The sequence below is a fragment of the Homo sapiens genome, chromosome 1, assembly GCF_000001405.40.
Source record: "Homo sapiens chromosome 1, GRCh38.p14 Primary Assembly".
In the NCBI taxonomy this organism is placed as follows: domain Eukaryota; kingdom Metazoa; phylum Chordata; class Mammalia; order Primates; family Hominidae; genus Homo; species Homo sapiens.
This window is the reverse complement of record NC_000001.11, coordinates 167,379,787-167,394,066: the sequence shown is the minus strand read 5'-3', so window position 1 is coordinate 167,394,066 and position 14,280 is coordinate 167,379,787. Positions and strand designations below refer to the sequence as shown.

The window sequence follows — 14,280 nt, the reverse complement described above, 5'->3', positions numbered from 1 at the left end:
AGCCTGGGTGACAAAGTGAGACTCTGTCTCAAAAAAATAAATAAAATAAAATAAAATAAAATAAAATAAAATAAAATAAAATGTTACTTCATTCAATCAAATATTCACTAAGTGCCTACTATATGTCAAGCATTGAACTTATGCATTGTGTATCACATATATTCATGTCATGGTCAGCTTGTTTAGATTACAGCTGGTGCCAACTAAACCTTGCAATTCTTTGAGTATATAAACTTATGTAGCAGTTAGATGGCAATAAGTGTTTTCTGGCATAGTAACTGCACAATAAGCTACAAATTTTCACAAACTTCTGTCTTATTATAAAAGTAACAATTTAACAAGCAAAAAATAAGTCAACAGCCTTGGAAACAGAAGGCCCCATCTCTACCAAACACAAAAAAATTAGCTGTGTGTGGTGCATGTGCCTGTAGTCCCAGATACTTGGAAGGCTGAGGTGGGAGGATCACTTGACCCCAGAAGTTTGAGGCTGCAGTGAGCTATAATTGTGCCACTGCACTCCAGCCAGAGCCAAGAGAGTGAGACCCTCTCTCTAAAAAAAATAAATAAATAAGTAAATAAAATATATATTAAAAAATCATGACAGTAATTATAAGAAATGATACTTTAAGGTGGTGGCTGGAAATAAAGCTATGCCATTCACTAACTAGAACCATGATAATAAATAATAAACTCACTTTATCATTTATTAATATGTTTTATTTCACATTTAAATTGCTTAATTGAATAAAAAGCAACAGACTCCTCAGTTAACATACTAATTTTCATTAATTCGGTACAGGCTTGGTTTAATGCTCTTTCGTGATAATCCAACTCACAACCATCTTGGGTTATCACTCACAAAAGTAAATGTTTTAAGTAGTCGATTCATATATAATCTTAACTATATTATATCCCTTTGATATTTTTAAAAAGAACATAACAAAAAAGGAACAAAAACTGAGACTGGGAAATAATGAATGTACCACATGTGATAAATGTATTATGCTATGACATGTTTTCTAATTATGCAAAGACAGCCATGGTAATCCTTTAATAAGCAATTATGAAATTAGAAAATAACTTTAAAACATCTAATAATGTGTATATTTACACAGAGAATAGAGCTTTTTTTGTTTCAGCAAATAACTTTAATGGCTAAAACTTTGTGTGTGTATATAAATAAATTGGACACAGAGCAACCTTTGAATAACTAAAATTGAAGTATCTGACTTAAAAACAGAGGTTGATAGACTGATTTTCCATTCTGCAGCAGTAGTATGTACTTTAACCCACATAGTCCAAGTTTGTGAACCATTGCCACTGCTGTCTCAAAGTCATTTCGAAAAATAAGGAATGGTCATGCCAAAAAATAGGATAAAACCACAAAACAAAACACCAGACCATAGGGAAGCTCCTTTACCTGGAGAGATGTGCGGAGGGAGAGAAAAACATAACACTGGCAATATGTTGGGTCAAATGCAGAAAGGCAAACCACTATTTGAGTAAAAGATAAGGATTTTTAAAAGCCTTAACATCTTTGGCATATCACTTACGCAACAATCTCTCAGGGAACCCCAGAGTATGCTGTGCTAATAGTTTAAAACTTGAGGCACTGCTAAATATGCTAACCTTATACTTATTTCAGCTTTGTAACTTACTCATATCAATCTAGTTCTATGTTTAGCTTTCTTTCTTTCTTTTTTTTTTTTTTTGAGACAGAGTCTGGCTCTGTCACCCCCAAAGCTGGTGTGCAGTGGCGTGATCTTGGCTCACTGCAACCTCCACCTCCCAGGTTGAAGCCACTGTCCCTGCCTCAGCCTCCTGATTAGCTGGGATTACAGGCGCCCGCCAGCACGCCCGGCTAATTTTTGTATTTTTTAGTAGAGACGGGGTTTCGCCATGTTGGCCAGGCTGGTCTTGAACTCCTGACCTCAGGTGATCCACCTGCCTCGGCCTCCCAAAGTGCTGGGATTACAGGTGTGAGCCACTGTGCCCGGCCTAGCTTTCTTTTTAAAACAGGTCAGATCATTTAAGATGCTTTGAAAGTATTAAAATGTTTCTGGATAATTTGCTTCTTCACAAGTCAAACTCCTCACAAATGTAACTGTATTTCCTCTAAAATCATGCCTATTTAAAAAATCATTACATATTCCCCAACACAATTGATTTCTTTGAGCAAAAATGAATTCCCAAAGAAATATAAGCCTGGGCTGGGCCTGGTGGCTCACACCTGTAATCTTAGCACTTTGGGAAGCTGACGTGGGTGGATTTGGTTGAGCCCAGGAGTTCGAGACCAGCTTGGGCAACATGACAAGACCTTGTCTCTACAAAAATTAGCCGGGTGTGGTGGTGTGCCTGAGTCCCAGCTACTCAGGAGACAGAAGTGGGAGAATCCCTTGACCCCTGGAGGTCAAGGCTGCAGTGAGCCGTGATCATGCCACTGTACTCCAGCCTGGGTGACAGACCAAGGCCCTGTCTCAAAAAAAAAAAAAAAAAAAAAAAAAAAAGATATATATAAAGATATATATAAATGTGTTCTTAAAAACACCCATAGTACATTTGGGGATGCTACCCTTGGATTTTGACCTACCAGGCCAGGTGGAGCATTACCGTACTTTCAACACAAAATAATTTGAGTAATATTTAACTAGTGGCTTAAAAACTTTAAATTATATTCCCTGGAAAGAAAATAACAGATTTCTCCTGATTCCATAAAGGCACCCAGTCTAATCCATACTTCAGTTTTTTTTTACCTAATGATCTTATACCATTTTACATAAATTTCATTCAGTTTAATTCCTTGCCTGCTTTAAAAGTATTATTTGCAGGCTGGGCGCAGTGGCTCACACCTGTAATCCTAGCACTTTGGGAGGCCAAGGCGGGAGGGTTGATTGAGGCCAAGAGTTCAAGACCAACCTGGCCAACATAGCGAGACCCTGTCTCTAAAAAAATATATTATTTATGACAGGTTAATCAAAGAGTAAGTCAGTGGTAGTGCTTAAAACAAACAAAAATGCTACATATCCAGACAACTGTTTAAACCATTAAATATATTCACCCTTCTTTAAAAGTCCTCGGTTAGCTGACAAATTCCAGGAAATTAATTTGGATTTTGGTTAATTTGGGGTTTTCATCTTCTATAGATTCTTGCTCGATTAACTGGTTTTAGCATAGGCTTAGAGAGTATGCGTGCCTGTGCTTGCATGCCTGTCTCCATCACCCTCTCTCTTCCAAAAAGTTATTTTTATTTTTAATTTTTATTAATTTTTACTTTTTAGAGACAGTGTCTTGCTCTGTCACCCAGGCTGGAGTGCAATGGAGCAATCATGGCTCACTGCAGCCTCGACCTCCCGGGCTCAAGCAATCCTCCCACCTCAGCCTCCTGATAGCTTGGACTACAGGCATGCGTCACCACACCCAGTTAAATTTTTTATTTATTTACTTTTTGGAGAGACAGGGTCCCACCAGAGATCAGGCTGGTCTCCATCTCCTGGGCTCAAGCAATCCTCCCACCTCAGTCTCCCAAAGTGCTGGGATTACAGATTAGAGCTACTGCCCCCACTACAAAAAACTGTTTTTAAATAAGCCTTCTAAACTTTTCCCCTTTTAGCTAATATAATACACCCCGTAATCTTTACTCTCTCAATCTTACATATGAAGTACTGAGGTCTACCACCAGATATTCTTCAAATAACAAAATCCTCCATACAATCTTTTAAAGTCTTCACAATTTAGTGATATAATTATGATTTCAGAGGCCTGTGTTCTGAAAGAAATCATAAAGCTTCTAGACTAACATTAAACCATACATTAAAAATGCAGGAAAAGGCTAACAAAAAGGTGCAGTTTAAAACCAAAAAACAACATGGCTGAGGAACATATTGTATCTTAGAAGCCTCTTTGGACATGTAAAGCAAATACAGTTGTCCCTCAGTATGCACAGGGGATTGGTTTCGGGACCTCCCTTGGATACCAAAATCCACTGATGCTCAAGTCCTCCAAATTATAAAATGTATATTTGTATATAACATACGTGTATCCTCCCATATACTCTAAATCATCTCTACGTTACTTATAATACTTAATATAATGTAAATGCTATGTAAATTGTTGTATTGTTTAGGAAATAATGGCAAGAAAAAAGTCTATACATGTTCAGTACAGACATGACCATCCTTTTTCGTCCCCCGTCCCAAATATTTTGGACTAGTTGAATCCACAGATGTGGAATCCATGAATACAGAGAGCCAACTGTATTTGGACCCAGCCAAGGAGGGGAATCAATGTAAGGCCAATTCACCCTACCTGAGTGAATCCAAGTTTGATTCGTCTTTGTTTGAAGGTCTTGGCAAACTGCTCAAGCTCCTCAAGGTCACTGGGCTCCTCCAAGCTGGGAGTATCAATTCGCTTTGGTGTTGACTGGCTCTGTGGAAGTGTCTGAATTGGGGTTGCTGCTATTGTGCGTGTTGGGGTTGCTGGCTGTTGGAGAAAGAATAAAACAATGAGGAAAAACACGTGAAGAGATATTTAGGTTTACTCCAAGTAAACAACTGAAGGAAAGAGCCACATTTATGGATAACGATGAAGACCATGTAACACTACAGAATGTACAACATAATGTTCAGTGAGCAAAGCAGACAGTGAAATTATGTATACTGTAATTACAAGTAATTATGTAATTCTATAGAAAAAACATGAATACACAAAAATGAAATGAATACACAAAAATGAAACCTATTATAACTGGGTTTTCAAATGGTCTGAATACATATATCTTATGTCTTTTAATAAATTACTCTTTATTTCAAAAAATCTATTTCATAAGTCTAGCACTTCAACTGTCAAAACAGTAGACAGCATATCTGTCTTGTTTACCACTATTACATCTCCAACCTGTGACACAGTATTATAAAAACAGTATTCAAGATCATAATTCAAAATCATTAAGGGGGAAAAGTAAACCACCTGCAGTTTAAATAGCTTATAACAGGTTTCGCTTTTGTATATCTGTTCCAGTTTTTTCCCCAAGGACCTATATCTTTAAACCTTCACTGTAATTATGGTATACAAAATTTTACTCTCTGCTTTTCTTATTTAACGTTGTTTTAACAGAGCAAGACACTGTCTCTAAAAAATAAAAATTAATAAAAATTAAAAATAAAAATAACTTTTTGGAAGAGAGAGGGTGATGGAGACAGGCATGCAAGCACAGGCACACATACTCTCTAAGCCTATGCTAACACCAGTTAATCGAGCAAGAATCTATAGAAGATGAAAACCCCAAATTAACCAAAATCCAAATTAATTTTCTGGAATTTGTCAGCTAACCGAGGACTTTTAAAGAAGAGTGAATATATTTAATGGTTTAAATAGTTGTCTGGATATATAGCATTTTTATTTGTTTTAAGCACTACCACTGACTTACTCTTTGATAGCTTGGACTACTGAAATCAGGAGTATTTCAGTTTTCATAGTTATCCTTTTTAAAAACTAAGGCAATATTCTCATAATTTACTTAACCAGTTCTTAATTGCTAGACAGTTTTTATGTTTTCACTAACATAGATAACACAATGAAAAACTTTATGCATATTAGTTATTTTTTCCACCTATGTGTGTAATTAGTTCTTTTGAGATAAATTCTCAAGGGCTTTTCTGGTAACTAGATAAACAATTTCATGGTTTTTGATACATATCATAACGTTGGTTCCCACTATGCAACACTCTTCCACATGACTTACGTTAGCAGTTTTAAAAAATGTTTTGCTAATTCAAGAAGTAAATGGTAGTTCCCTGCTGCTTTAATTTGTATTTCTCTTACTACTCAATGTCAAAATTTTCCCATGTGTCAATTATTATCTGTATTTCTTTGAATGTGAATTGGATTTACGTCCTTAACCAATTTATATATTAATGATATTTATTCTCATCCTTATCCTTAGAGAGATCCTCAAATTTTATAAAGGAAGCTTTGTCATATTAATGCAAATGCTTTTCCAATTTGCTTTCTTCCTTTTATTTTTCAGGGTACATAAACCTTTAAATTGTCATTTGGGTGAGCTTTTAATTTTCCTTTCTAATATATCCTGTTACTTCAAATCTGAGAAAGCTTCACTTATTTCTAACATTGATAAAATTCCTTTTAATCTGCTAGCTTCTTCTTTGTTGAATATTTGATTATTTAAATCCATGTATAGTTTATTTTGGGACATGAGGGTATAGTCTCTTTTTAAAAATAAAATACTCTACTTTCTTATCACACAAACTTAAGGTTATTCTGTTCTATTCACAAGCCCTGAGTGGAACACACCTCACTAGTGGGAGGCACTGCCTGACTGCATCTTAGTTGCTCAGTTGACTCCTCCTGTGAAGAGTAGCCCAGGTGAGCGATTATAAACCAGAATTACAGATAAAGTCTGTGGCTGTGAATTTTTCTTCTTCAAATTTAGATGAGTTATATAAGCCTGACCTTTACCTTATGAGTCAAGGCTTCCTCCAAAGGAACTAACTGTCCCAGAAAACTACAGAATAAGCATTACACAGGCGACAACTGGAGTTAAGTTCCTCTCTTATCCTGTTTCAATGACAATAACAAAGTTCATTTCTATGTCATGCTGACACTGCGTAATTTTCAACCTGACCATTTTGGAGGAGCCAAAACGAGCACCAACCATAGCAGACCCCTATGTAGCTGTACATTTCTCACAGCGAAACTGGTTGACAGTTACAGGTGAGTCTTAACTATCACATTGTTACTTCATCTCCGGGCCTGAAGTAGCCCCATTCTCAAATAATAAAGGACTAAAAATCGCTTGGGTACCTTTAGATGGGGTGGTTACAGATAAGTTACCCCAGCTCCAGAAACCTCAGGCTGGACTGGGCCAGATCTAGAAATGGCAGAGTAGAATTCAGTGAGCAGGAGTCAGGATGAAGCCACAACGGCCCTGCCACCATATGCAGAGAACGGAGGCCAGGAAGAAGTCTCTGGTATAGGCTTTTTTCAAAATCCCAACCTCACTCTTGCATTCAGCATATTCACAAATTCACCATTTAAAAGGGCAAAGTATATGTTTCAGCAACTACAGTCATACAACTGCTACTAATTGCAGTAGCAGTTACTACAGATAGTAGTAGATACAGAACATTCTCATCACTCCCAAAAGTTCCCTTGTTCCCTTTGCAGTTAATCCCCACCATTAGCCCCCCGTCCCTGGCAACCACTAATATGTTTTATGTACCTTAGTTTTGTCTTTTCTAAAATGCCATGTGCATTGAATCATACTGTATGCAGTCTTTTATGTCTTCTTTCATGTAGTATAATGCTTTTGAGATTCACAGGAGATGCATGTATCAGAAGCACGTTTCTTTTTACTGCAAAGTAGCATTCCATCATATGGATATGCTAAAGCTTATGTTACCTAGTCACCAGCTGATGTATATTTAGGTTGTTTCCAGTTTGAGGTGAATAAAGCTGCTAGAAACATTCACATACAAGTCTTTGTGTGGACGTATGCTTTCATTTCTAGGGACAGAACTGCTGGGTCACAAGGTACATGCACATTTAATTTTATAAGAAACTGCCAGCCTGGTGCGGTGGCTCACGCCTGTCATCTCAACACTTTGGGAGGCCAAGACACGCAGATTGCTTGAGCCCAGGGGTTCAAGACCAGCCTAGGCAACATGGCGAAACCCCATCTCTACAAAAAATAGCTGGGCATGGTGATGCACGCCTGTAGTCCCAGCTACTCAGGAGGCTGATGCGGGAGGATTGCTTGAGCTTGGGAGGTCAGGCTGCTAGAGTGGGCTGTGATTGTGCCACTGCACTCCAGCCTGGGTGACAGAGCAAGACCTTGCCTCCCCCTCACCCCCCCAAAAAGAAACTGCCAAAATAATTTCCAAAGTGTGTATACCATTTTGCAACACCACTAAGCAATGTATGAGAACTCTAGTCGCTTTACCTTCTTGCCAACACTTGGTTTTGTCATAGCCTTTTAAATTTTGCTTATTCTAGTGACTGTGTAGTGATATTTCATTTAAATTTTCCTGATCACTAACGGTTTTTGAGCATCTTTTCATATGCCTGCTGGACATTTACATATCATCTTTGGTGACGTATCTCCAATTTTTTTGCTGCCCATTCCTTTAAATCAGATTGTCTTATTATTAACTTGAATGAGTTCTTTAGACATTCTGAACACAAATGTTTTATCAGATATGTTTCATAAATATTTTCTCCCCATCTGTGGTTTTCTTTTCATTCACTTGAGAGAAGCTTTTGATTTTTATGAAATTAAATTTATCCATTATTTTATGGTGCTTTTTGTGTCCTATTTAAGAAATCCTTGCCTAACCCAAGGACACAAAGATTTTTTTCCAAGCTTTTTTCTCTAAGTTTAGGTCTATGACCCATCAAACAAATCTTTGTACATGGTGTGAAATAATAGTCAAGGTTTTTTATTTTTTTTCCCTATTGTTTCAGCTGCATTTTTTGAATGACTTTTTTTTTCCCATTGAAATCCTTTGGCACCTTTGGCAAATCAGTTGGCCATATACATGTGGATCTACTGGACCTTCTATTCTGTTCCACTGATCTCTATTTCTATCCATATGCCAGTATTACACTGTCTTCATTACTTGAGTTTTATAATTATTCTTGACATCAGTAGTCCTTCAATTTTCTTCTCAAAATCGTTTGGTTATTCTGTGTTTTCTACAGTTCTATATAAATGTTAGAAACAGTATGCAAATTTCTACAAAAAAGCCTGCTAGGTATTGGTTGAGACTGTTGAATCTAGAGGTCAATTTGGGAAAAACTGACATTTTAACATTTAACTTAAGTCTTCTGATTCATGAACATATTACTTCTTTCTATTTTATAGGTCTTTAATTTTATGCAGCAATGTTCTATAGTTTTCAACTATAGAACTATTTGTATAGGCCTTACAAATATTTTGTTGTTTACCCCTAAGTACTGTAAATTTCTTTTTCTTAATTTCAATTTCCAAATGCTCACTGCTAGTGTATAGAAATGTAAATGATTTTTATATATTGAGTTTGTATCATACTTGCTAAGCTCACTTATTCCAGTAGCTTTTTTTGGTAGATTCCTTAAGATTTTCTACATAGACAATCATGTCATCTAGCAACTAAGATAGTTTTACTTCTTCCTTTCTAATCTGTATGTCATTTATTAATATTTTATTTTATTGTCTTATTGCATTACTGGCACCTTGAGTATAATGTGGAATAAAAGTGGCAACTGGTCACTTTGCCTTGTTTCTGATCTTAGGGGGAAAGTATTCAGTTTTTCGTGAAGTATGATGTTGGTTTTTTTCTTTTCTTTTTTTTTTCTTAATACATGCTCTTTACCAGGTTAAGAAAGTTACCTTCTATATCTAGTTTGCAAGAGTTCTTATCATAAATGGATGCTGAATTCTGTCAAATCTGGTAATGTGTTAGTATTAAGTGATAACTTCCATACTGCAGACAAAGAAAGTCAGAGCTGGAAGGAGATTCAGGATCAGCCAGTTCAGTCACCTAATTTATAGATGAGAAGACTGAGGTCCAGAGAGATAAAATGACATGTTCAAAGCAACAGCTAGATAAGAAGTGGAATCAGGTCTATAATTTAAACCTTTATATGTCTAAATTTTTTTAATATAATTATAGTGTTTATATGGTCTAGTAGAAATGAGCTAAAGCACCATAAAAGCATTGAGAAAAAAGAAAATATAGAGATCAAAATCTCTTAGCAGTTTCTGAGAAAGGGTAAAGGGTAACAATGGATTTTTAACTGAGGCTCACTAGGTTTCCAGTTTAAGTGGTAATATCTACCGCCAAGTATGGTGAGGGGAGATGTCACATAGCTAGAACTCATTACTCATTTACTGCTAATGCAGTTATTCTTTAAGAACATATAAGAAACAGGAACTCTGAAGATTTTCAAAGACTATATTGATTTGGTAGCATTGAGCTGATAAGCCTAGCTTTGATTTTCTGGTCAGTTTTCGAAGACCGAATTATTTTTATTAGATTTAAAAAAAAAATTAAATAAAGTCCAAAAGTCTCCCCAAACAATATGATAAGAGAAAGCAGCCCCCATAGAAGAAAACTGACCTGGGAGGTGAGGGTGATGCTTGGCTGCGACTGTAGGAGGTTGGCTTGGCTTTGCTGAGGTAGTTGCGTTAGAAGATTTTGCGCTTGCAGGAGACCTGTAGAAGAAAAACATGTTATCCAGAAACATTAAAGATTTCTTCGAACACATGGCAAAAGAAAGAAAGAATCAGAAAATGAGCTGAAAATTTCCAGTTGATCTCTGGTAGTCTTACTGGTATCAAAACTCTTATTTATCTTATTTGCCTTACATTCAATCTTGTTTTACAACTTGGAAGAGAAGATATACAACATTAAATTAAAACTGATATGTCTTTGGCATAATCTGAATAAGCTCTGTGATAGGTCAATCCTTTATTTTAGGAAAGAATGGGATGAAAGTTAAAAAACTATTCTAAATAGAAACAGCTGGAAATTCCAAAAAGAGCTCAACTTCTTAACCTAGAATCCATTAGAAACTGCCAGCGTATGTTGGACCAGAGGAAAAGAAGCATTTTCAAGTTCTCTTTATCAAACATTTGCCTGTTGGTGATAATAAAGTTGAAATGTAAAATATTCTATTAATATCTGCATGAACACTGAACTGTCTTAGTTTCAAATAATTGATAATGTAATGCCACCAATGCTTCATGATGACAAACTGACATTCAAAGTAGAAATACAAACTCTTTGTTTGTAGAAGATGCTCAATTACTTGAATACATGGCTTTTTATTTTCAGAAACTGATAGACAGGACCAACCCAGAATGTCTGTATTTAAGGATTTAATCTTAAATACAGAGTAAAGAGTTTAAGTAAAGAGTTTCAGATAAAATGCTGTTGCTAAAATACTAAATACAAGATTATGTTTGCTGTGATAAGAGCAATGGTAGAAAGTATTCGACAAAGCACACCAAACAAAAGGGATTTTACCATTTTCTTTTGAATATGTGATAAGATTATCTGAGGCAATAGCTTCCTAATTATGATTTCATTAGGTTACTAAATTTGGATATATTAAATGTTGTAATATGTAGGACAACAGCCAGAACACTTAAGCCTGCCAGAGATTAGCCATAGAATTTATCACTTATTTATAAGTAACTAAGCACTGCCTAAATTTAAGCTATCAAAAGATACTAATATTTATTTCATAATGTAGGTCACAAATAAGATAAATATATTAAATAGATTTGAATTTTTCTAAAGAACCCTGACTTTTGCTGATCTGGGACAAGTGAAATATATATTGAAGCAAATATGATTAAATAAAATTCAGCATATATTACTACAAACATTTCTTAAAAGGCAGGTTTATGGAAGTTTAAATGACCATCCTCCTTCCCCAAGTGTCTCCCTATAGTTCAATCTCCATATAATAGTTAGGGTGATCTTTATAATCTTATTATTTCCCAATTAAAATGCTGTCATGGCCTTATATTAGAATTAGAACAAAATCTATGCAGCCCTAGGTATCTGGCCCTGTCTAGCTATCGTATCTCAACTTCTACCACTTCCTTTGACTCACTGAACTCCAGCTACTTTGGCTTTTCTTTTCCTGGATCAGGTCAAGCTGTTCCCATCTCAGGTGTTTCACATTCCTTTGCCTACAAGACTCTTGTCTTCAGATTCTAGGTGTGGTAACCTCTCCCTCATCCTTCCTCACCAGTTCCCAATTCAAATATTGCTTCTCCAGAGAGACTTTTCCAGACCATGGGCCCATTCTTCTTTAGGTTAACCATTACCAGATTACTATGATCCGCTACCTGACTAGTACTTATTGGTATCTAAACCATTTGTTTACATGTTTACTATTTGACGTCTCTTAATGAGGGCAGGGCCTGCATCTTGTTCAAAATACATCCCTAACTATCAGAGCACTATATGACACAGCAGGCACTCAACTAATTTTTGAGTGAATTAATTAAAATATCAAACTTTACTGGTTTGAAAAATACTGAAGGGTAGTCTAGAGGAACAAAACTATGTTAACTATTAAAACTAATTAAATAAAATTGTTTTGAAAAGACTAAAGAATATTCAAAAACAATAATAAAAAAAGAGAGGGCCAGGCGCGGTGGCTCATGTGTGTAATCCCAGCACTTTGGGAGGCCGAGGCAGGCAGATCACTTGAGGTCAGGAGTTCAAGACCAGCCTGGCCAACATGGTGAAACCCCATCTCTACTAAAAATACAAAAATTAACCGGGTGTGGTGGCACACACCTATAATCCCAGCTACTCGGGAGGCGAGGCAAGAGAATTGCTTGAACCCAGGAGGCAGAGGTTGTGTTAAGACAAGACTGCGCCACTGTACTCCAGCCTGGGTGAAAAAACAAGACTCTGTCTCAAAAAAAAAAAAAAAAAAAAAAAAAGAGAAGAGAGCACAAAGGTCAGAAATGAAGTTCCATTAAACATAGGCTATTTCAACATAGGAGTTTCTTTAAAGTTTAACAATGAAAGTTAGTTTAATCTGTAAGAGACAAAAGCAGATAAGTAAACAAATTCAAACCTTAGGTTTTACCCCCAAACAAGGTCAGCTGAAAAGGCTGAAAGGGCCCATAGAGGTTTAGAACTTTTTAAAAAACCAATGCTTGGCCAGGCGCCATGGCTCACGCCTGTAATCCCAGCACTTTGGGAGGCCGAGGCATGTGGATCATGAGGTCAGGAAATCGAGACCATCCTGGCTAACACGGTGAAACCCAGTCTCTACTAAAAATACAAAAAAATTAGCCAGGCGTGGTGGCATGCGCCTGTAGTCCCAGCTACTCAGGAGGCTGAGGCAGAAGAATCCTTCTAACCTGGGAGACGGAGGTTGCAGTGAGCCAAGATCACACCACTGCACTCCAGCCTGGGCGACAGAGCAAGACTCCATCTCAAAAACAACAACAAAAAAAAAACGCTTGCCACTTTCCCTTACCTAAACAATGAAAACCCAAACAAAACTCAAATGAACAACAGTTTTCTAACCAAAAACATTTCTTTGATTATTTTTATAATTAGTGCTGAGAGTAGATAGGGCAGAATAAGATAACCAATAAATTATGACTCAAGTCCAGTAATCTATCAGTAAGAATTTTCCCATGAAAAATAATTCTGAGGAAAAGGCTTAAATTTCCCTTGCTAGAAATTAAATTCTAGACAGTTACAGTTATATAATCATAGCAATATTACCAAAAATATGAACTACATCTCAAAAGTTTTAGGTTAATCAATGAAAAACAAGGGAAAACAGAATTCCAGAAATCAATATTGAAGGCTAATCTCATGCTGGAAACATTATTAAAATTCCAAAAGATAAAATCTTTGTCCTCCATCATGAAGTTAAGAGATTAGCTCTTTGGATTTTCAGCTTCTCTGATGCTATTAATTACAATGAATTCAATTCTTAGAAATGTTTATAGACGTATTTCCACTACGCTGATCCTCTACATTGTTGAATAATCTTAGAAAATGGAATCTAGGTCACATACGACTAACGAATGATTGCAACTCAGCAGCAGTGGTACAAGGTGATTCTAGGGAAACTATATAAAGGAACAACCTTTTCATTCTCTGAGTTATCTATCGTTTGTTGACTGAGGATGATACTGGTATCATGATAATGTCATAATGGTAACAGCAGCAAAGATTTAGAAAGGTTACTATGTAGGAGGCAGCTTTCTAAAAGGTGCCTTACATGTGTTTACTCGTTGACTCCCTACAACTCTTAGAGGTGAACACTGAAAGTATCCTAATATCACAGTTGAGGAAACAGGGGCCCATAAAGTTAACTTTCCCCAGGACACACAGGTAAGTGGCAGAGCCAAGATTCACAAAGAGACAGTTTGGCTTTAGAGTCTATGCTCTTTGCTACTACATTATAATGACCTTCCTGATGTTAGGGTAGTAAAACTTTTTTTGTAATTCACCCATGTAAGTGAAGGGGAAGATAAAAAGGGAAATATGGGAAACTCAGAAAGGTTAGGTGAGTTGTCCAGGGTCACTGGCTCTAAGGCCAATCAGTATTACATTATCTGTGCTATTTTCCCAATCTTATAAAAGTCTGGAAGTTGGGGGAGTGTTTAAAAACATACACATACTTTTGCAAGTACCAAAAAATCAGAATGAACAGTAATTCATTATTCCTACTATCTTGATTTGAGACAAATAAAATTGAAATAAAATGAGGTCCCAGATATGAAAAGGGAAA

The 14,280-nt window shown here is 36.3% G+C and overlaps 1 protein-coding gene across 13 annotated transcripts in view; it reads right to left on the bottom strand.

Annotated features, from left to right (window-relative positions):
• POU2F1 (POU class 2 homeobox 1) overlaps window positions 1-14,280 on the bottom strand; it is a 206,461-nt gene that overhangs the window by 33,279 nt on the left and 158,902 nt on the right. For all 13 annotated transcript variants that reach the window (NR_037163.2, NM_001365848.1, NM_001365849.1 and 10 more), the window contains 2 exons: window positions 10,116-10,210; window positions 4,306-4,479 (listed from right to left, as the gene is read on the bottom strand). Coding sequence is in view for 12 of the 13 variants with exons in the window: in NM_001365848.1 (NP_001352777.1) it covers window positions 4,306-4,479; window positions 10,116-10,210 (269 nt within the window). In the remaining variant the exon portion in view is untranslated. The remainder of the gene's footprint in view (window positions 1-4,305; window positions 4,480-10,115; window positions 10,211-14,280) is intronic.